The 22,297-nt window shown below is 39.2% G+C and overlaps 1 protein-coding gene across 2 annotated transcripts in view, besides 1 other annotated feature; it reads right to left on the bottom strand.

The window, feature by feature from the left end:
- Nucleotides 1–22,297, bottom strand: part of MACF1 (microtubule actin crosslinking factor 1) — a 402,972-nt gene that overhangs the window by 150,384 nt on the left and 230,291 nt on the right. The window contains exons 27-37 of one of the 2 annotated variants that reach the window (NM_001394062.1): nucleotides 21,064–21,242; nucleotides 20,226–20,364; nucleotides 19,348–19,541; nucleotides 18,140–18,302; nucleotides 17,008–17,091; nucleotides 14,040–14,147; nucleotides 13,747–13,845; nucleotides 12,410–12,562; nucleotides 12,021–12,109; nucleotides 9,402–9,537; nucleotides 102–5,552 (exon numbers count right to left, since the gene is read on the bottom strand). In NM_001394062.1, coding sequence (NP_001380991.1) covers nucleotides 102–5,552; nucleotides 9,402–9,537; nucleotides 12,021–12,109; nucleotides 12,410–12,562; nucleotides 13,747–13,845; nucleotides 14,040–14,147; nucleotides 17,008–17,091; nucleotides 18,140–18,302; nucleotides 19,348–19,541; nucleotides 20,226–20,364; nucleotides 21,064–21,242 — 6,795 coding nt within the window. The remainder of the gene's footprint in view (nucleotides 1–101; nucleotides 5,553–9,401; nucleotides 9,538–12,020; nucleotides 12,110–12,409; nucleotides 12,563–13,746; nucleotides 13,846–14,039; nucleotides 14,148–17,007; nucleotides 17,092–18,139; nucleotides 18,303–19,347; nucleotides 19,542–20,225; nucleotides 20,365–21,063; nucleotides 21,243–22,297) is intronic. The other variant, NM_012090.5, reaches the window with a different exon arrangement.
- Nucleotides 14,641–14,830: an enhancer, noted in NCBI's record as "active region_810". NCBI's record gives its function as "activates an Ori minimal core promoter by ATAC-STARR-seq in GM12878 lymphoblastoid cells {active_cell/tissue: GM12878}" and the evidence as "EXISTENCE:reporter gene assay evidence [ECO:0000049][PMID:35858748]".

Here is a 22,297-nt window from a genome sequence, read left to right as displayed (position 1 = left end):
GGCATACAATTACACATATGTAAACTCTGTACCCAGTTAAGAATTTTAGCATTAAACTAATTGTATCTTTAGGAAGAAAAAAAAAAAAGCACACCACTGACCTGAGTTGCTCTGAAGGGCTCTGGGTTTACACCTCCATTTCCCTTTCCTTCAGGTGCAGTCATGAAGGGAGTTTGTTCACTGCCAGGGCTTTCTCTGAGCTTTTCCTGTGGTGTCTTCTCTGTCTTCACTGCAGAGCATACTGTTAGGGACACTGTCTTTTCTTCACTGGTCTCTAGAACAGTAGGACTAATGATGGCATTCTGTTGCCCTGTATTCTCTTTTTGAGACACTCCTTTGAACAGTTTCTCTGGAAGAAAGGATCCCAAGACTCTGGAACCTCTCTGAGTCACTATGTCCTCAATGGATCCTGCTTCTAGACCTGCAACATTAGGGTTTGCCATTTCTAGAAATTTCTCTCCAGTTAGTTCCTGTGTTGCTATTTCAGATTTGAGAGTTCCACAAAGTTTATCATCACTTTTGCTGCCCTGATGATGAAGGTCTTTTCTGTCTGAGAATTCTAGATACCTGACTTCTTTTGAATCTGGTCTAGAAACTGTGATTTCTTCCAATTTAAGACCTCTTGCTGGGTCAAAAGATACTTCTTGGTATGACTTTTCTTTACATTCATTAGATGAGGAAATTTGATGTTTGGTTTCCTTAGTTTTCGAAGTAACCCAGGAATCTTGATAGTTGGTCTCCTGTCTGGTGGTTCCTTGGAAAGACTTGTCTGTTTTGGAAATTTGGGATGGGCCTGTCACTTGGGCTTTTCCATCTGATTCCTGGTAGTGCAATCCTTCAGGTCTTGGGGTCATACAAGGGAATGGTTCACTCTGGGCCCCACAGGCAATTTCTCGAGATAAGTTTTCTTCTGGTTTTAAAGTCAAGCAGAGACTTAAATTGTTTACTTTTCCTTCATTGGCCTGTTTAGAGCTGAAGAGTGTTAAAGCATCTAAATGTTTTACAGAAATTCCTTGAGGTACCACTTGGGAAGAGGACTCTTCAATTTTAAAAGTAATAGAAAATCCCATTTCTGTATCAGCTTCTTTCCCTTTTTCACTTGAGGTCATTTCCCTAGGTTGGCTCTTTATATGGGAGTCATGCTCATCTCTAATGGCAGTTTCCTGATACAACTTTTCTTCAGAAAGAAATGCTGGTTTGCATGTTCTGATACTTTCTTCTACAATCACCTCCCTCTTCTCTCTCTTACTTTTCACCCGAGCATTCATTGGTTGCTGCAAAACCTGCTCACTCGGCAATTTGCCTGACGTTTCACAATATGTTTCTTGTACTTCCAAAATCACTTCCCCTTGATTTTCTCTTATTTCTTCAGAATCTAGACATGAGGTAGACTGCTTCATATGAGAAATAATTTCTATTTTTGTCACTGCTTTTTCCTGCTCTTCATTTGTATCATTTCCCATGTTATTTCTAGCCACTTCTTTAAGTTTAAAATCACATTCAGAGTAAGGGTGTGTCAATGACACTTGGCCCAAGGATTTACCTTTAAGATTATGAGGATTTATGATACTGATAAATTCTTTAGCATCTGAAGACATTCTTGGCTTACGTTGATCCTTGCACCCAAATTCCTTTAAGGAAATTTCCCTGCTCTTTTTTGCCTGCTCCCCATCAGAAACTCTCACTTTAACCTTTTCTTGTGCAGACTGATTTTCAACTTGAAATAATCTCTCACTCTCTTCTACTTTATTACAACTCATTTCAGCAGTCTGATTACAAGCAATTAACATATCCTTTCCTAGAAATTCATTTTGTAATGCACACACTTCAATCCCTTCTTGCTTTTCAATCTGAGCCCTGTGATCGCTGAACTCTGAACTATCTATTTGGATCATATTTGCCAGTTCAGGGCTGATCAGTCTTTTCTCAATAGCTTCTACTAAAGTCACTCTCTGATCACTAAATATGTCAACAATTCCTCCATTTAACACCTGATGAGATGCAATAATTCTGACCATGTTTTCATCCACCAGTTTCTCTTCCAAAGCTGATGCCAATGTCAGTCTTTTTCCAGTAGCAGTATCTATGATTCCACCAGTATTTGCCTGGGCTTCTAGAACCTTCAGCGTAGATGCAAAGTCTACTTTTCCAAGCTGAATTGCTTGAGACAATGTAAGCACTTTGTCGCTCACCCCATCTTTAATGTCTGAGAAGGGAATTACTTCTAGATATCTCTGTCCAGATTCAATATCAATCTTACATTTCTTGACTAATTCTGAGTAGGGGACAATTCTGCAGTTCTCGGGATCTACAATGCCATGCATCATTCCTGGAGACAATACTGCTTCATTAGTTAACAGTCCTTCTTTTTTAGCTTCTGCCAAGGTCAATCTCTGACCAGAAATGAGATCCACAAAGTTTCCAGTAAAGGCCTGAACCTCCTGGATTTCTCTTTTCAGGTCTGAGGTAATAAGATCTAATTTTATGGCTTTAGGGAGGGAAATATTTTCCTTCGTTTCAGGATTAAAAATCTGATGGATGTTTAAGTTCTCAACTCTTTTGAGTTTCTCGGCTAAATCTTCACCAATTAAGCCATGTCTGAAGGCATTATCAACAGAAAGTCTCATCCCAGATATATGGTGAATGATACCTCCATCTACCACTTGCTTAGTCAACAAACGAACGGCCTCCTCTCTCTCCAAAAGACCTCTGTCAATGGACTGCACAACTGTTAAAGGTGCTTTACTATCAGGGTCTATAAGTCCTGTTGTTTCCATTTGTAAACTAATTAATCTCTCCCTAACTGTTTTTTCAGCATCTCTACCTTTGGAAGCTTTCTCCAGATTTATAAGTTCTGGCTGGTCAGCAACGTCCACCAAGCCAAGAGTTGAGGCCAAAGTTACTGAAACTTTTTTGCCTCGTTTCAGATCAATAATTCCACCAGTCACCACCTGCCTCTCTAAAATTCTGGTGGCTGTTTCCTTGTCAAGAAGTCCAACTGTAACTGCATCCTTTACAGAGCACAGTGTCTGGGTACGGGGGTCTAAGACACCACTTATAGCTTTGTCTGCCATGAGGACATTATGTAATAATTTCTCATCCATCAGACCTTCATTAATGACTTCTTCAGTTGTCAAAGACTCACAAGTCTGAGAGTCAAAGAACCCCTGAAACATGTTCAGCTTCTCCATAAGCTTCACGGCAGTGTGACTTGGCACAATGCCTCGGGATATTGCTTCATTTAGTAAGAGCTTTTGACCTGTTTGTTCATGAAAGATACCACCATCTAGTAACTGTGCAGATAATACATTTAAGGTAGCTTCTTCAAGCAATTCTAATGGATGACTGCATGACAGAAAAATTTCCCTGCCACTATCTTCCTCATCGGTCTTTTCTGACATCATCATACTACCACCTGCGATGTTCTGTGCTTCTTGACTTTCTTTATGGTCATCCTTAGCCAGAAATGTTTTCTTTAACATTTCCTTTTTGTCCAGAGGATGAACATTCCCATCAGTTTCAGACTTTAGTTCTAACTTTATACCTAGAGTTTTCTTTACCTGAACTTGTAACTTTTTGCTTTGGGGTTTTATGTGAGATCCTCCAGTTTCATCATGAATATATTCAGTCTCAAGAGTGTGTGCTTGTTCATTCTGACATGTAAAGGAAGTGTTTCTTAGAGGTTGATGTTCTTTCTTTGGTGTTTCAACAGAAAAAACATCTTTGTCAACCACCAACGGCACACCTTCCGCCTCAGCAGGAGGTATGGTCAGGAGGTGTCCCCTGCTGGCATTTTCTCTGACAGACACTGCTGTTTGGTCTTCCCTTTGGGTACCTATCAACTGCCTTTGTACCTCTAATTTGACTTTATTTATTACCTTCAAAGCATCAATGTTTGGATTTCTCTCTTTTTGTTCTACAAACAGATCCTGTTCAGGGTTCTCTACAGAAGAATCTTCTGTTTCTACAGTGGTCTTTTTGCCTTTTTCTGTAGTGCAATCTTCCCGATCGGGATATTCTTTGTTCTGAGAAGAAAACTGGAACTCAGGCAGCCTCACAGTCCACCCACTGCTGAAAGTTCCTGAGATTTTCACATTAGCTGATTCTTGCAATCCCTCAGGAGTTTTTTGCCTTTGATGCCCAATTTCAACCACTTTTGGAGGACTTGTTTGATACTCATCTCTGGATGTTAGTGTCTCCATCAGCTCTTTATCTAACAGAAGCAGCCTCTGTCCATTTTGCACATTAATATAGCTGTGAGTCATCAGCTGGAACAACAGATTCTCACTCTGGCTTGCTGTGGCCTTAGGGTGGCTCTTGCTGCACGGTAGAACTGCTGCTCCAGGATTAATATTTTGTTCTGCAGAGTCTGCTAGTTGCATGTGGGGCATCACATCAGGTATACAAATCGATTTTAAGTTATTGGCAAGATCTCTATCCAGGATACCACTTTCTATTGCTTTCTTCCAGGACAAAATCTCTGTGGTTGCTGGTAGAAACAGAGCCTTAATATGCTGTCGGTTACTAAGGATTTTATGTGCTAGTTCAGTAGACACAATACCTTGTTCTAGGGCATCTGTAATTGGGAGGATCTCTCCAGATTCAGGCCACAGCAACCCCATGAATGACCAGAGGGACTCCAGAATCACAAGGGCGATCTTAGCAGCTACTAGATCATTGCTCACTGCTTCATCTATTGTTAGCCTTTGCCCCGTGACAGTGTCTATGATGCCTCCTGTCTGAAGCTGCCTTATGAGGATAGCACAGGCCATATCTTGGTCAATCAGATTATGTCTTACAGCCTCTTCCACTGTAAGTCTGTGTCCTGTTCTTGGATCTACTATGCCACCAGCAAAAAGCTGAGCTTCCAGCAACCGGACAGTGACCTGCCTATCTATTAGCCCTTCCTGAACTGCACGGAAAATGCTAACCTTCCGGCCTGATTTCAAGCTCACCATCCCCCCTGCCAATTGTTTGACAGGCAGTAATTTGAATCCTGATTCCTGGTGGACAATACATCGCTGCATCAGATCCAGCAAACCAATTTTCTCAGCTGTGTTAGGGTCTATCAAATTCTTGGATGTTCTAAGATAAGACTCTAATACTGAATGAAGCCATGCAGAAATGAGGCCTTGATGAAAAGCCTCTTCCAGGTTAATACAGTTCTCACTAGGGGAAAGACTGAAACCTCCAGTTGCCAGGTGAGCTTCTAAGATTTTCAGTCCAACTGTCTCACTGATTATTCTCTTTTCAATTGCTTCCACCACAGAAAGAGGGCCTCTGCTCTCAGTAAGCCTGCTTATTAAGGCCAGGGCATCCTGTAGCTCCCGGAGCTGCTGGTACATCTGGGGATTAATGAGGTTTCTGGCTATGCCCTCCTCCAAAGAGAGGTTTTCACCCGTCTCAGGGGCAATGAGGCCAGACATGATAACCTGAGATTCCAGAAGCACTAGGCCTGTGTCTTGGTCAAGGAGGCCCTTTTGCATGGCTTTGAAGATGGGAAATATCTCCACTGTGCCTAGGTCAATCACCCCAGCAACTGCTCTGCATTCCTAAAAAAAAAAAAAAAAAAAAAAAAAAAAGGAAAAGAGAAGAAAAAGAAAACTGAATCAGAGCCAATGGCAAAGCACAACTATTGAAAGGAGTCATTCAAAGAACTATAGTATACAGGCCAGGCACAGTGGCTCACGCCTATAATCTGCCCAAGGCAGGCAAATCATGAGGTCAGGAGTCTGAGACCAGCCTGACCAACATGGTGAAAAACCCGTCTCTACTAAAAATACAAAATATTAGCTGGGTGTGGTGCGCACCTGTAATCCCAGCTACTCAGGAGGCTGAAGCAGGAGAATGGCTTGAACCCGGGAGGTGGAGGTTGTAGTGAGCTGAGATTGCATCACTGCACTCCAGCCTGGGCAACAGAGCGAGACTCTGTCTCAAAAAAAAAAAAAAAAAGTACTACAGTATATAAAATTCTGACCACAAGGAAAACCCAGCATGGGATAAGCCCCAACATGTAGGAAATATTCTGAAGCAAGCCACCCGGTGTTAAGACTAAAAAAGAGTTTTTCTAAACTGCAGAATGTTTAATAGGTCAGAAGTTCCTAGATTACTTGAGAGATAGTGGCATTAAGCATATCTGAGTGACAAGCTCTACAGGGTGGTAAGCAGTGAAAATGATAGGATTTAATCTTATTTCTAAGACTAAATCATCATAAATGTTCTTAAAGACACGTAACAGTTCCCCCAAAGTGAGAATTCAACGCCATACAACAAGTTTTTGGTGTTGCAAACCACACAGAAGACTCTAGAAGTAGCAATTCCCTGCTGATGAGCACAGCAGGACTGGTCCATAGAATAAGAGAGATTTATGCAGCCCAGAAGCTCCAGAACAATTGTGCATCCCAGTAAACAGGCCTGTGTATACTACTCAAGCAACTATTTAGCAAGTGGGATACTCATATTCTTGGACAATGCTAGCTTCTCCCAAGGCAATGGCTCTAAATTAAGTTAGTTCTAGGTCTTGGAAGTAGCAAGTCAAGGAAGAAACAGATTGGGGACCCTTGCCTATGGAACCACTAGTAACTTTTCTTCTGATCCAGGCTAGAATGGGTAGTACAATAACCATGACTACAGCTATCACTTATTACTAGATCTACTGAACACTGACATTTAATTCTCACAGTAATCCTATGAAAACAATTGTTTGAATCTTTAGTTTGAAGAAATGAAAATGAGGCACAGAGTTTAGGTAACTTGTCCAAGGTCACAAAACTAGTGAGTTCCAGAAACAAATCAAGGTCTGATTCTAAATCTTGTTTGTCCTCCCAGAGTCAGACCCAGAAAACTGTAAAAGACAAGTACAGTAGAGTCACATCTTAACACAGGAGTTAGGTCCGAAGGTCAGTGAATAAGGCATATACGCTGTCAAAATTACCCTTGCAAATCCTAGAAACAGCTCCTAAAGAATTCTCATTTTTGAGATCTTTTATCACAGAATAATACATTCAGATTTTAAATTATTTAAGTGTTTAACCACTTACAACACTTCATCATTTTTATTACTCTCCAACTTTTCAGCTCTTCTTTTCATGTTCATTATTTTCATTTTCTGTATATAATTTTATCTGTCCCTCTTTGGTCAGTGCTACTTTCTGATTACTTATTTAACTCTCTATCTTATTGATAGAGGATCTTGTGGAAGCAATTTCCAATTATTTCCCTGCCTCCTAAATAATGGCATTTCATTTTATCTCAGTGAGTAAGTTCTGTAAGAGCTGATCCATTGTCCATGAAGGTCTAGGAACAGTAGCTGTCATTTAATAAATATGGGATGAATATGGATAAATAATAAGGAAACCCTTAAAATCATTAAGCCATTTCCCCTCAGGTGTTAGAAACACGCACTGAGGATTTCAAGCTTGATGAGGTGCATACAATAAGAATACAGAATGGATAGCAAATGAAAGAACAGTATATTTGGTTCTCATCTCCATTTCTACATATGTGTTCAATCAATGGAATAACTGACAGACTTCTCTACACTATTTAAAGTATTATTTATTCCCTATCCCCATGTTTTCTGACCAAGAATAGAAAGTCCAATTCATATAATTTAAACATATATATTATACAAACTCACTATGTGTCTGTTTTAAAGAAATTGAAGGAAAAAGTTCACTGGAATGTGATAACTGAAAAATTTCAAGATACCTTAAAAATTCCTTTTAGAAAATCCATGAAAGACTATTCAGAACAGACAATATGACAAAGAAAAACATCCCTTTGAGAACTTTTCATTTCTTTTGTGAGATTCATGGAGTCTCAAAAATGCTGACATTGAAGAAAGGCCTGCAGTGTAGCCAAAGAGAAAAGTCTACACTGTTACTTCCAACACCCTCATATAATTGAAGGATAGGCAGGAAATACTCAGCTGGGAAAAAATCCAGAGAAACTCATTTCTGTCCTACCAAACATGGACATTCTGACCTAAACAAGCATTAAGAGATAGAAGGAGAGGAGGAAAGAAAACATAAAAGGCTTCTACTTACCAGAGTTGCAGGGCACGCCTTGGGCAGATAAAAGATAGAGCCTTATGGAGCAGCTCAGCCGTATCACACACACAGTGTAAGCTTGGTGTTAGCGTCCAGCATGCGACTGTTTGTTTTTGCAAAAAAGAACCCCAAACAGGTCGTCCTCTTTTCCCTTTGTGCATTTGTGCTTAAACTCCAAAGGGTTAGTGAAACTTGTAAGCAAGGATGTCAGTTAATCAGAACAATACTTCACATGAAACACACATACAGGAGACACATCATGCTCAATGTAGTGGTGCTCAGCAGCCTGTCCTGTCTTTCTTTTTTTCTTTTTTTCCTTTTCCCCCCTCTTTTTTAACCTTTCAAAATGAGAACCGGATGTTCTCAGCAAGCAATTGTTAAAACTTTTCACATACTCCCTTATATGGTGAAGCAACAAGCCACTGGAAGTGGGCTACCTTAAATGGAGAATGTTACACCAGCACTTTGTTTTTGGAAATACACCATCAAATCATAGCTGGTTTTGTCTTGTGGTTTTTACAACTCTAGCTCCTGTTGCACAAAATTTATATCCAAGGATCAGAATCAAGACATGCTTTGTCTGAATATCATTTTGAGCATCATCTGGACCAAATTTGACTATCACGTGAGCTTAATTTTGGCCTGCCCCACATAAGTTGGCCATTGCTTCACAACATAGGAAATAAGCAGGCAAACACACATATATATCCCAGAGACACATGTATATAATATGGTAAGTGTACACACACGCACAAGTATCCAGGAAGAACTTAGGACAACCAGTAGGAACTATGATGACTTTCACATGGTCCAGGAAATGAATATGGAGGGGAACTGGTCAAGATGCCACATGATGAGATGACTATGGGTGAGGGGAACCAGCGTCTTAGTCAGTGAAACTACTCTACCAGTTTGCTTTGGAACTTAATATTTCTTACTGCCTTAGTATAGAGGGAAGAGGTTCACAGGTTTTTCTTCCCAATATCCAGAACTTTTGGCTATCAACTTTTGAGTGACAATGCCACAAGGGAGTATGTTACTGCCCTGTGATCACATATAATACAGAATTTATGTTCTCCTAGACTGCTGTCTGCCACAAAATGGCATAAGACAAAAAAGGTGAACCAGGTCTAAAGGGTTAGTTGTAAGTGTCTTCTAGTGCTTTTGACTGACCAACACATCATGGAACCCCAGTAAAGAAACACAAGACAAATGGCTGCTAAGGTGAGGTTAAAAATTAAGTCACATTGGTCATGGAAAGCTAGTGATCATGACTCTGAATCAGCAAAGCTGCCTTCATACCATTCAAAAGGTATCCACCCAATATTTGGAGATGAAAACTAAAAGTACCTTTTGTTCTGTCTGGTGAGCCAACTGGCTCTGAAGCTGCTGAAGCTGATTTGCAGAACCATCACAAAGGTCATGGTAAGCCTTGTTTAGGGCATTCAATTGCTCAGATATTTGTTTCTTCTCTTTTTCTGAGAGCCTGGAAGATGAAGCATTAAAGCTTTTTTAGGAGAAAAAAAAACAATCTCCAAACTCTGCTCTATTGCTTCAAAATTGCTACTTCTTCATCTTGGATGGATGATCTTCTTCCATATTCATCGGAGACTTTGGCATTTCAGTCAGTTCTTCTGTTTATCTCAAATCAAGTCATGGTTCTTGATGATGTCAATGCTATGTCACCCCTATGCTTGTAGTTCAAATGACCTCATCTCCACTTTAGCCCCACCCCCAAATGTCAAACTTAGATCCTATCATCTGAAATTATTCTGCTTCTGAAATCTTAGACTTCAAGAATCCACTATATGATTATAACTCTACCTTTCAGTTTTATCTTTCTTTACTCCTTCTATACCTATTTTCTTTTTAAAATAAAATATTTTAAACAGGCAGAAGAATGTAACACATTCTTATTTACCTGTTGTCTAGCTATCCAGCTTTCATTTCACAATTTACTATTTTACATATTTGCTTTAGGGCCTTTTCTTTTTCTTCTCTCTTTTTTTTTTTTTTTTTTTTTGAGATGGAGTCTCGCTCTGTCACCCAGGTTGAAGTGCAGTGGTGCGATCTTGGCTTACTGCAACCTCCACTTCCCAGGTTCAAGTGATTCTCCTGCCTCAGCCTCCCGAGTAGCTGGGATTACACGTGCCCGCCACCACACCCAGCTAATTTTTGTAATTTTAGTACAAACTGGGTTTCACCATGCTGGCCAGGCTGGTCTCGAACTCCTGACCTCAGGTGATTTGCCCGCCTCAGCCTCCCAAAGTACTGGGATTATAGGCGTGAGCCACCGCACCTGGCCGCTTTAGACCCTTTCTTAGAAATAAGACATTACAGATATAATTAAAGCCCACTGTATATTTGTCACCAAGTCCATTCCTTTCCCTTTCTTCCCAAAGGTAACCACCTCTTGAATCTGATGAATCCCGCAACTTTCTTTTTTCATTCCACATTATGTTTCTGAGAATGAACTCTGTTGATTCAAATGGGATCTATCCATCAACTCATGGATATGTCCTAAGCCTTCCTTAATGCCTCCATTTCCTCTTATTCTATCAGTCCTCTCTATTAAGTTTCTTTTCTTCAGAGGCCAGACCCCACAATCCATATTCTTGATCAGTTCCTTACCATTATCCTTGCACTCTCCACTCGCTAACCTGATAAAAGCCCAACCCCAAATCAATCAAACCACCAGTCTCTTCTGCTCCTACACTAAGGCTGCTAGGTAAATCCAGTTAGAGAAAAAAAAATTCCACAACCACATAGACAGAGCCCACTGGTTTCCAATCTCAACTGGGTCACAATACTTCCTGACAATCCTCTTGTAAATTCCCAGCCAAGTCCCTCTTCCTTTCTCCTCGGCACCATCCTTTCAACAAACCTCTCCACCTATTTCAAAGAGAAAATACAGACCACTGGGCACTAATTCTCTTACTTTCTGGCTTCGGTCCTAACAAATTTACCTCTATCCATACCTTTCTTAATCTCCTTTCCCTCATCTCCACCTCAGAAAAAAGGTGGTCCCAATTTCCTGTTTAAGGTTGTACTTTCTAACTATCAATGAGTTTCCTCCTCTTGCATGTCCACTGGGACCTTTCTCTAATTATCTCCTCCCCTTTGTCCTTGAGACTTACTCGAAAACATAGTTAAGTCCATTGTATCTTTTAAGAAAACAAAACCCTTCTTGACCATATATTTCATTTTTAAATATTGACTCTATTATATTTTTTGCTCCTATGTCCTGGCTTCTTGAAAGAGCAGTTCTGTTTCGCCTTGCTTGCCTCCAATGTGCTCCTCACCATACTAAATCTGACCTCATCCCACAACTTGTCACCAGAGGCACCAAAGACTTCTAACTTGCCAAATGTAACAGATATTTCTCAACTTTTCTTGACTTCTGAACTTCTCTCCTTTTTGGAACTCTGTTCTTTCTTGGGTTCTGAGTTATCACTCATAATTTTCCTTTTCCTTCTCTGAGGCTTCCTTAACAGGCTGAGAAGCCCCAAAAAGCCCTTTTGAGTAATCTACCCACATGGTTTCTAATACACTGATAATTCAAATCTCTGTCACTTTATGCGATAATTTTCATGTGTAACCACACCCATAGATTCATTATCCTTAACATCTCTTGAATATTAGTCTCTTTGTTTCCATTCCTCGTCATTTCTTGTCTACATTATCAGAATAGCCTCTTAACAGGCCTCTCAGCCTCTATTCTCACCACATGTCAATCCTTTCTTCATATAACTGTTCTAGCAACCTTTAAAAGTAAAACACAATCACATTTAAAATCTCTTCCCATAGCCAACAAATTAAATGCAAACTCCTCCGTATGAACTACAGGGTCCCCATAATCTGGCTCTTGCTGCTCTGAATTCTCCATTCTGAAATCTCATTATGGCTGTAAGTTTTAGACTGATAGACCAGGTGCCCCAGATGTGCCATAATCTCTCATTTAATACTCACTTATGACCATGCTTGGCCAAGAAGATCTGTGATGTTTTAATAGCTTCAGAGACTTGTTCTTTCTTTGTTGTCAGCTCTTCTGACAGAACCTACATGGTAGAAATAAAGAGAAAAAGCTTCAAAACCCAAGAATTAAGAGTCAAAAATTATTTAAAATTATTTTTTTAAATCCTAGAGAAAATATGCAGCTTAGGTCAAATTATTATCACCAATGAGCTACAGCTGATAAAAAGGTACAAGAACAAACAAGATGGCTTCTTAAGTTTCTTTAACATTTACTCAGGTAGCAATCACTTCTGGAATGGCCCACATGTGACTTCTACTATTCCACCTAATGTATTATCACATATTATTCTACCCAGGTAAACAGAGATGGACCTTCTTCTCACCTGCTGTTCCAAAATAGCTTTTTCAATGTCTGTTGATTCTTTGGTCTCGGATGAGGTAGCTTTTCCTTGTGTATTCCTCGCTAGGGTAGACACCCAGCCCAAAAGTTCTTTAACCTTCTCCACATGTTCTTGTTTCTCCTCTTCTACCACTTTCTAGAATAGGAAATAGAAAATCAATATGCTAGCAATGTCTTTTATTAGGCTGGCACGACTTCAGATTTTCTTAAATGAAGTCTTCCTAAAAACAGATACAGTTACCTAAATAAGTGGGCTGTGAAAATAACCCCAAGTATAATTTAGCCCAGCCTACAGTATTGCTCACAGGTGTTTGTGAGCTAAATTTATTATACCTAGGTTTAATACCTTTCTGAAAAATACAAACCACTGTTTTATATATAATAGGCACTCAATAATTATTTGATGCTTTTTAAAAAAATCTCTTCACATATAGCATCTTACTCATTTTCATAATTCTTAGGTTTACAGGTGAATCTGTAAGAAGAGAAGAGACTGAAGCCTACTGAGATTACATTATGTAGGTATGGATATAAAGAAAGTCTTGCTAATTTAAAAAGCAAAAGATGGTATGGTTAATGTTTTAACAGCTTTTTTTTTATAAGAGAGGCTGAATATGCAGAAACTTATTTTACAAAGACAGAAGATTTTTACAGTTACAAACAGATGACATGCTCATTACAATAAATTCAAACAAGTCTAAAATACATAATTATGTAAGTTAACGTTATTTCCCCAGAAATTTGGTATAGGTGCCTATAAACTTCTTTCTATGCCATGTCTTTGTAGTACACAGTTTTGTTTTTAATGAAATCATAATTATACATAGTATTCTAACTTCCTTGTCTCTCAAATAAAATATATATTATATAATAATTTAATTATATGTTACATATATAGCATATATTTTGCTGGTTTAAAAAATTTTTTTAATTTTTGTGGGTACATAGTAGGTGTATATATTTACGGGGTATGTGGGATATTTTGGGCTTTTTTTTGAGACAGCCTATTGCCCAGGCTGGAGTGCAGTGGCACAATCATGGTCACTGCAGCCTCAACTTCCCAGGCCCAAGTGATCCTTCCACCTCAGCCTCCCAAGTAACTGGGACCACAGGTGTGTGCCACCATGCCCAGCTAATTTTTAAATATTTTTTGTAGAGAGGGGATTTCCCTATGTCACCCATGCTGGATTCAAACTCCTAGACTCAAGTAATCCTCCCAACTCAGCCACCTGGGTACCAGAGACTACAGGCACACACCACCGTGCTGGCTAAGATGTTTTACTGTACTTTCAAGATGACTTTGGACCCAACTGTCCTCACCTCCTCCTCCTCCAGACGCCGGAGTGCATCACTGATGTATTTCACGTGCTGAGTTGTTAAAGTCACCAATGCCGTGTAGCGAGTCCTTAAGTCCATGAACTGTGGTTCAAAAGAACAATTTAAATAAATCGTCTGCCAGAAAATGAAATTTAAATAGTTCAAAATAAGAGGAAATGTTCATGCAGTCACATGTTCACCAGAAAAGTGAGCCCTAAATCAAAATGTAAGGCCCAGGCAAATGAATCTTTCCTTAAGGGAAGACAGTGGTGTATTTCCTTCCCCCACCCTCTCACCTCTTGAGTGATGGCATCTGAAGAGGAAAGCATGCGACGGCGCTTGCCAGGGGATTTCTGCTGCGATTCCACAAAGGCCTTGTATGTCATCAGTTGCAATTCATAGTCCTAGGAAAGGATGAATTTCGCTACAGTTACTCAGGGTTTTATAATTCACATACATCATGTAATAAATCATAGCTTTTTATTGCTGGAAGCGTTTTGGTGACCACTCATGCTGGAGGTTAGCAAACTTTTCCTGTAAAAGGCCAGACAGAAAATATCAGGCCATACTATCTCTCTCATTATAAGTGAAAGCAGCCATAGGCAATATATAGATGAAAGGGTGTGGTTGTTAGAATAAAACTTTATTTATGAACACTAAAAACTGAAGTTCATATTATTTTCACATCATAAAATATTATTCTTTTGATTTTCTTTTCAACCTTTTCTCATGGGCCATACAAAAACAGGTGTGTGGACAAGATTTGGCCTGTGGGTCATAGTTTGCTCACGCCTTAGTTGCAGTCTGACCAACCCTTTCATCTCACCTGTGGGGAAAGTGAAACCCAGAGAGGGGATGTGAATTTCCCTAATTAACTAAGTGGGTAAGTGTTAACAGAGTTAGGATTAGAATCTTAGATTTCTAATCCCTGAACCAGTATTCTCATTTTACCATACTATTCTGCCACTTCCTCTGCAACCCTGCAAGTTCTGCTCTAGTCCACTCTCTTCTTCTCTCACATGAAGTAGCCTTATAAGTGCGGTAGCCTCTTAGGTACTTTCACTGCTTCTAGTCTAATCTCAATTTATTCTCTATTGTTCCACCAGAATACTTTTTCTAAAACCCAAAGATGACCACATCACTCTTCTCCTTAAAAAGCTTTCAATGATCTAGAATAGAGCTTTTCAAACACCAACATGCATATAAATTATATCCCCATATAATTTATTAAAATGCAGAATCTGATTCAGCAGGTCTGAGATTCTACATTTCTAATAAGCTCCCAGGTGCTACGGATGCTACTGGTTCAAAGACAACACTTTGAGAAGCAAGAATAGAAGATAAAGCCACAACAATGGAACAAGGCCTGTCATGGGTTGGCCCCAATCTCACCGCTAATTTTCCATAGTCACTGCTCCTTATTGTGCCTTCTAGCTATATCAGAATACTCTCTATTTCCTCATATAATCAAGTATTTTCATTCTTCTCTGCCTGGGATTATGCAGTTCCTTTGCCTAAAACGTCCTTCTGCTGTCTACTTAAAAAAACTCCGGGTAGAAGGAAAACAAGGAATGAATTTGTGAAGGAACCCATAAAAAAATAGTAGTAAGAACATTAAAATATAATCAAAGCAATTGCTACCACTTACTGAGTGCACTTTAAGTTTGAGGCATGGTCCTATGTATACATTATCTCATTTAATCTTTACAATCACTCAGTGAGGTATTATTGTTCTCACTTTATAGATACAGTAACAGAAACATAGTCTAAGTGCATACTCAAAGTAAGCCTGGAAAATGGTGAAGGGTTTGAACTCAATTCTTTCTTACAGTGAGTGTTCTGTTATTAACTAAAGGAAAGCCTTCATTCAAAAAGTATTTGTTAAGCATCTTCTATGTACTTGCCATTGTTTTGAGTGCTATACACACACACTGAGAAACAAGTCAGGAAAAACTTTGCTCCCTTGGAACTTACATTCTAGTAAGAGTCACAGAATAAACAAATAAATATGTAATAATCTCAAGTTATTTTTTTCTTTTTTTTGGAGACACAGTCTTTCTCTGTTGCCCAGGTTGAAGTGCAGTGACACAATCACGGCTCAATAGCCTCAATGTCCCAGGCTCAAGTGAGCCTCCTACCTCAGCCTCTTGAGGAGCTGGGACTACAGGTGCACACCACTACATCCAGCTAATTTAAAATTTTTTTTTTTACAGATGGGATCTTGATATGTTGCCCAGGCTGGTCTCAAACTTCTGGGATCAAGTAACCCTCTTGCCTTGGCCTCCTAAAGTGCAGGGATTACAGGTATAAGCCACCACACCTGGCCTCAAGTCATTTTTCCTTAAAGATATTCTAAGAGAAATAGGGGAGAGCTAAATCATTCACGGCCTTATAAACCATGTAAGAATTTAGAATTTTATTACGACTATGATATGAAGCCATTGGACAGTTTTGAGCAGGAGAGTGACATGATCTTATTTGCTGTATTTCATCTATTCTAAGGTACACATTTTCTCCACATTTTAGTCTTTCAAATTGGAACATATTTTAGAATCAATGGCATGTCACATAACTGGCAGAGTTTCTTCTTTTTTCCTCTTTTTGGCATGCAGAAAATTATGGTGTAGCTTGTAATCAATGGAGTCTAAGATTCAGTGACATGCAATATGTTCTAAAAAGGGGATTTTGGCTACTCTGTGGGAAAATAGCCTGTGGGGGCCAGAGCAGAAGCAAGAGACCAGCTCAGAGGGTACTGTAGTAGTCTAAAGAAGATTCTTCACTGGAATGTGAACTAGGGAAATAGAGGGGAGATAACGGCAGGCAGTCAGATGTGGGACATGTTTGAAGACAAGAGCCAACGGAGAATATAAAGCTTAAGGCAAAGAGAACAGTTTAGGATGACTCCTGGGTTTTTTGCCTCAGCAATTAGAAAAAAATGGCCATACTATTTCCTGAGATAGGAAAGACAAGTAAGAAGCATATTTAAGAAGAAAACTCAAACATTCTGTTTTTGCCATGTTAAGTTTAAAGGGCCTACGGTCACGCAAATGGAGACTCCTCAAATCACAGCCAACGTCTGCTACTTCTCCAAGCAACCCCAAACATGGGGTTGCAGGAAATACACATCTGCTTAACTGAAGGATCAGGCCAGCTTGTAGCATAAGAACTCTGCTTAATTTGTCTAGAAACAGAACCTACAGTGAAGATGTAGGTTTTCCTGAGCTGGTGATGATTCATGTTCTTTTTGGGATGTGGTAAAGTTACCTTTACAATAGTAGAGTACTGCTGGGAAAATTTTTGACATTGATCCAGTTTTGTCTGATTTCTCTCAATTTCTGCAAATAGGGCCTAGGAAGCAAAATATCACAACATTATCATTGCCATTACCACCATTGAAAGAGCTGAACATTTACTATGTTCTAAGGCAGTAGTTTCCAAACCTTAGCTGCATCAGAATTGCTGGAAAGGGTGGTTAAAACACATACTGCTGGGCCTCACCTCCAGAGTTTCTGGTTCAGTGGGTTTGGGTTCACAAATTTGCACTTTTTTGTCTTTTTAATCTTTTGTAGAAACAAGTTCTCGCTTTCTTAACCAGGCTGGTCTCAAATTCCTATCCTCAAGTGATCCCCATGCCTCGGCCTCCCAAAGTGCTGCAATTACAGGCAGAAGCCACTGTGCCCAACCCAAGAACTTGCATTCCTAACATGTCCCCAGGTGATACGGATGCTGCTAGTCTGGGGTCCACACTTTGAGAACCACTATTCTAAGTATTTTACATGTATCACTTCAGTTAATCCTAGCAACGATAATCTCATAAGGTAGGTTAAATAAATAACAAACTATGTCCATTTTACTGATAAGGAAGTAGAACACTGAGAAGCTAAATAACTTCTTCAAAGGCTTATAGTAGGTAAGTGAGCCAGAATTGGAATCCAGGCAATACAACTCCAGATCTCATACTCTTAACCATAATGCTAAACAAAACAAAACAAAACAAAATACCAACAAAAAAAAAATGCTTAAAATAAATCATTTTCAAAAAAAAAAGAATCATTTTCTTCTACTTACAATTTTCCCTTGGTTTTCAAAACCCCATATCTAATCCTAGTAAAATAAAATGTAATATAAAAAAAAACAAAATAAAGATAATTTTAATCTGTCCATCTAGTGGTTTCAATACAGTTACAGAAACTCAGAACTGAAGGTACCTTACAGGTTCTCTAGTCTAAATGCAAAACCAGTATCTTGGGACGATCCTGCTCAAACCACTCAAAGAAAAGGGAATTTGGATATCTTCCATTTGGAGGAAGCTTTAATTGCCAGTACATCATTTTCTTTTATGATAAAGAAAATTTAAATTTCTAACTCTTCTCGCCAGAGCTACTACCACACTCACCGTCTGCTGGCTGAGCTGCTCCGAAAGCACTCTGCTATCCTCTGCCTGGCCTGGCTTCATCATTTCCTGCTGGGCAGTGGTTTCCTCAATCCACTTGATGAGAGTTCCATGGCAGGCTCGGTAATCTCCCAGAACTTCCTGGATACTTTCTAGCTCAGATTGGCTAGAAGAACAAAGGGAAACTGCTATCAGATACCTTGGTACAAATACAATAAAGTAAATGAGGTAATTCCCTCTTTAACCCATGTATCCAGCTGGGCTTGACCACAAACGATCCATCTTTATCTACGGGGAACAGCGATGCAAGGCTGAGTGAGACCTATGCATGTACCAGTGCCCTATGGTCAAAAAAGTGAGTAGAAACCAGTTGTGACCTGCTAGCCCTGGATGCTGCCTTGTGGTCTAGCATCCCACAATAATCCTTGTCAAATTTTTCACCTAGGTTGCCAAGAATTACCAGGGTGACCAATAAGGTAGTATTGGCTGTACAGTTCTATTCCCTGATGACAGAGTACCTGTCAGTACAGCACAGCTATGATTTATGAATCACTATAATTTCTCAAGGAGAGAGGGGAGAGAAGTGAAAAATAGTCATTATTTCCTGCTACTTCCAATAAGTCATATCACTTCTCTAGTCTAACCAGCTTTGTGATAAGACTTCAATTAGAATGAAAACTTATGAGTTGTTAAGCTCCTCTCCCTACAAATTTCCCTAACCAGCTTAGCCTCCAAAAGGTGCAGTTTCTGTCCTTCCTATTTACATCTGTCATTAGAAGCAGGACCTCTAGTAACAGAGATGAAAAATTACTGAATTAGCAAATGAGATGAAAGCAAGAAATTCTGTAAAGCTCCATCATAAAAAATGGCTCATATTTGGATACAAAGCTAATAAAACAAGAACTAGAGTATAGGTTTTGTCCTTGAGAAAAGATCACCAGGGACCTTTCAAGTCTACATTCCAGGAAGCCATTGTCATCAGTGGCTTAACTAGAAAAGACCTGGGACACAGGAGAGGCATTACATCTGCTTTGAGATTGCCGGTCTCACCTTTCTGTCACTTACTTGTCCAGAATTTATGTGGTTTTTAAATTTCCACCCCTCCCTATCCATTTCCACCTTTAAATATAAATGTACAGATATAACTCTGTTTTTGTTTAAGACCTAGTCCCTGAACTCTAATAGGAGAAAAAGGTGGGGCCACCACTCACCGAATCTCGAGCTGGGCAATGACTCGGTGCCAACGCTCCTGCAGCTGGGAGCCTTTTTCCTGATAGCGCTCCAAATCCAGATTTCGCTCTGGTGTCAGACGACTCATCTGCTCTGCCACTACCTTGGCCTTGGCAATTTCCTCATCCAGGACTGAAAACACTGAATTCTTGTCCTTCACATCACTAAGCCAGTGCTGTGGAAACATAAGTACAGAAACAGGTTGTATACTTTCCATGCTAAAAAGGAGTCAGTCTAAGGTGGGAAACAAGGACACGGTCTACAGCTATTTCCACATTGTATATGTGATTGTGCCCTGGAATGTTTGTGCCAGGACTGCCTCCACATGTCATGGTCTCTGCTTTCCTGATACACACTGGGATGCCAAGGACAGGCAGTACTCTATAGAGAAATGTGCATAGAACTTGTGTTTGAAACCTGGCTTCACCACTTATAACATATGAAACCAAAATAAGTCATTTAGCCAGAGTAAGTGTTGGTTTTCTCATCTGTAAATGGAGAGAAAAATCTCTTCTTGTCCACCTCACAGAGTGGCTTGTGAGAATCAAATTAGATAACAGCTAAGTGATTTATAAACTTATGGCACAACCACTGACTGTATCCAATTAATCCATGATTTTATTAAGGTGAAAAGGGAAAAAATAAATAGAAAAACCTAGTCCTTTCTCTTCCCTTTCTAGCTAGACATACTTCTCAGTCCCTTCTTCTTTGAATACATATTAAAATATATTTAATGACATTCTGCCTTATTCAAATGCAAATTTAAATCAGTGTCATGCCATCCAAAATTGCATTTCTCTGCTAACCCAAAGCAATGAATATGTTAGGTCAACCTCCTAAGAAACTCAGAGCAACTCACCCGTAATGTCGACCAATGGGCCTCCAGAGCTGAGAGATCTGCCAGTACTACTTCTTCTTGACTCAGCTTAATCTCATAACCTTTGACCAAGAGTTCAGCATCCTGTATGCTACGTACTATAACATCAACTGTCTTTAACCTGTGGGGACAAATACACATTCCTTCATTAACACATGAATTTTAGGAGCCAGGGTTATATACCTGGAGTGCTATAGAGAGGTTCATAAAACATAATAACCAAAATCAATGTCACCATTTTTAGATGTTGACAGGGTTTTGTGAAAACAAGTAAATGTGGTTTTTATGCTGCCAATTTAAGCCAATTCAAAATAAAGTTCTAAGTGGCATTGGAACATGCATACATGTGGTGGACTCATGGAAGAAAGGCATGAAGCCAGAAACCCATTTTACACTATGAAGAGTTTAAGATGCGCTACTCTTCAAGGTCATAGGTAGAGATGGGTGGGAAGAGGGAAGACCTTCAAAGTCTAATACCTAGTGTAACTAAAAACTTTTCTTTTTATTCTTTAGTGTCTCTTCCTTTGTCTTTATGCCATTAAGTATTATTTTCAGAAATATTTAATCAAACAGAAGTGAGGTAAATCATAGTCCCAACACTGCAAATTAATTCCCCTTTCATATCACTGGCACTTCTTCACTGCAGTCCAAATGAACCTACTTAATGTTACTAGGAACTGAAGCCAAGACCTCTCATTATCAGTATATGCTCTTCAGGATCTATAATCTCTCTGTATTATTCATGAAATACTTTAAGCCTTTCTCTTTCTTATCCCAATGGAAAATATTGCTCTTGGACCCAAAACCTCAGCTCACTCACTTATTCAGATATACAGTAGAGAGACCATAGACATGGTCCATCTTCTCCACCAGCAGATTCAGTTCTGAGCGCAGAGTTGGGACACTTGAACTAGATGGAGACTGATGGAGAAAGCTGTCACATTTCATAGAAACTGCATCCAAGTCTGACCTCAATTGCTGTAAATCCTCCTGGGTGTGCTGCCAGGAACAAGACACACATAAAGAGGGAGACAGAATTGAACAAAAAAGGTAGAAAGAAGTCCACATTTGTAATAGCTAAATATTGGAAACCACCTAAATGCCCATATATAGGAGGCTGGTTGAATAAACTATGAAGCAGACATACGATGGAGAATTATGCAGCTGTAAATGAAATGAGAAAGATTTCTGTGAATTAAGTGGTTTTAGGATATATTTTTAAGCAGAAAAAGCAAAGTCAACAGAGTATCTATAGCATGTTATATTTTGTATATAAAAGAAGGGAAAATGAGAAAATATATGTGTATATGTTTATACAAAGAGACAGACAGAAAGGATAACCAGAAACTAATGAGATGAAAAGGATGGAATTGAAAGGATCGAAGGAAGGCAAAGGGGATAAAAGGACTAGCTAGAGGGGAATACACTTCTTTTTGTATAGATTTGACTTTTAGAACCATGTTAATGTTTTACATTCTTGTAAAGAAATAAATAAGGAAAATTTAAGGGTGGCTCTCAAATGGAACACAACAGAAATATATAAGCCTAACTGTATTTCAGATAAATAACATAATCACACTGAAGGGGAAGAAAGGGTAAGAACACACACAAGCAATTTCTGAACTCAGTATTCGAACTATAGATATACCTTTAGGCTAAAGACATAAGGAACTATAAATAAATGTTAAACTCTAGTTTGGTAGGTTTGTTTACTGCAGTGAGTTAACAATTCTGAAACTACTATCTGTAAATGCTAGGACTGAACAATAAGTAAATATACTGTGGATAACATAAAGCAGGTTTTTCTCTCTTGGGGAAGGGGGTTAAAAATATGGAAAGAGGCTAGAATAATCCCTGTGCTATGGGTTGGGAACTGGATGGGGAGACAAATACATATGAATTTGTGTGTGTGTGTGTGTGTGTGTGTGTGTGTGTGTGTGTGAGAGAGAGAGAGAGAGAGAGAAAGAGAAATTGAGAGATCAATAAATATATTGATCTATATCTGTAAACTTACGTACATGTATATGTGTGTATATGTAACACGTGTGTGTGTG

Source organism: Homo sapiens, chromosome 1 (assembly GCF_000001405.40).
Source record: "Homo sapiens chromosome 1, GRCh38.p14 Primary Assembly".
NCBI classification, from domain to species: Eukaryota; Metazoa; Chordata; class Mammalia; order Primates; family Hominidae; genus Homo; species Homo sapiens.
This window is presented reverse-complemented; position numbering and strand designations above follow the sequence as displayed.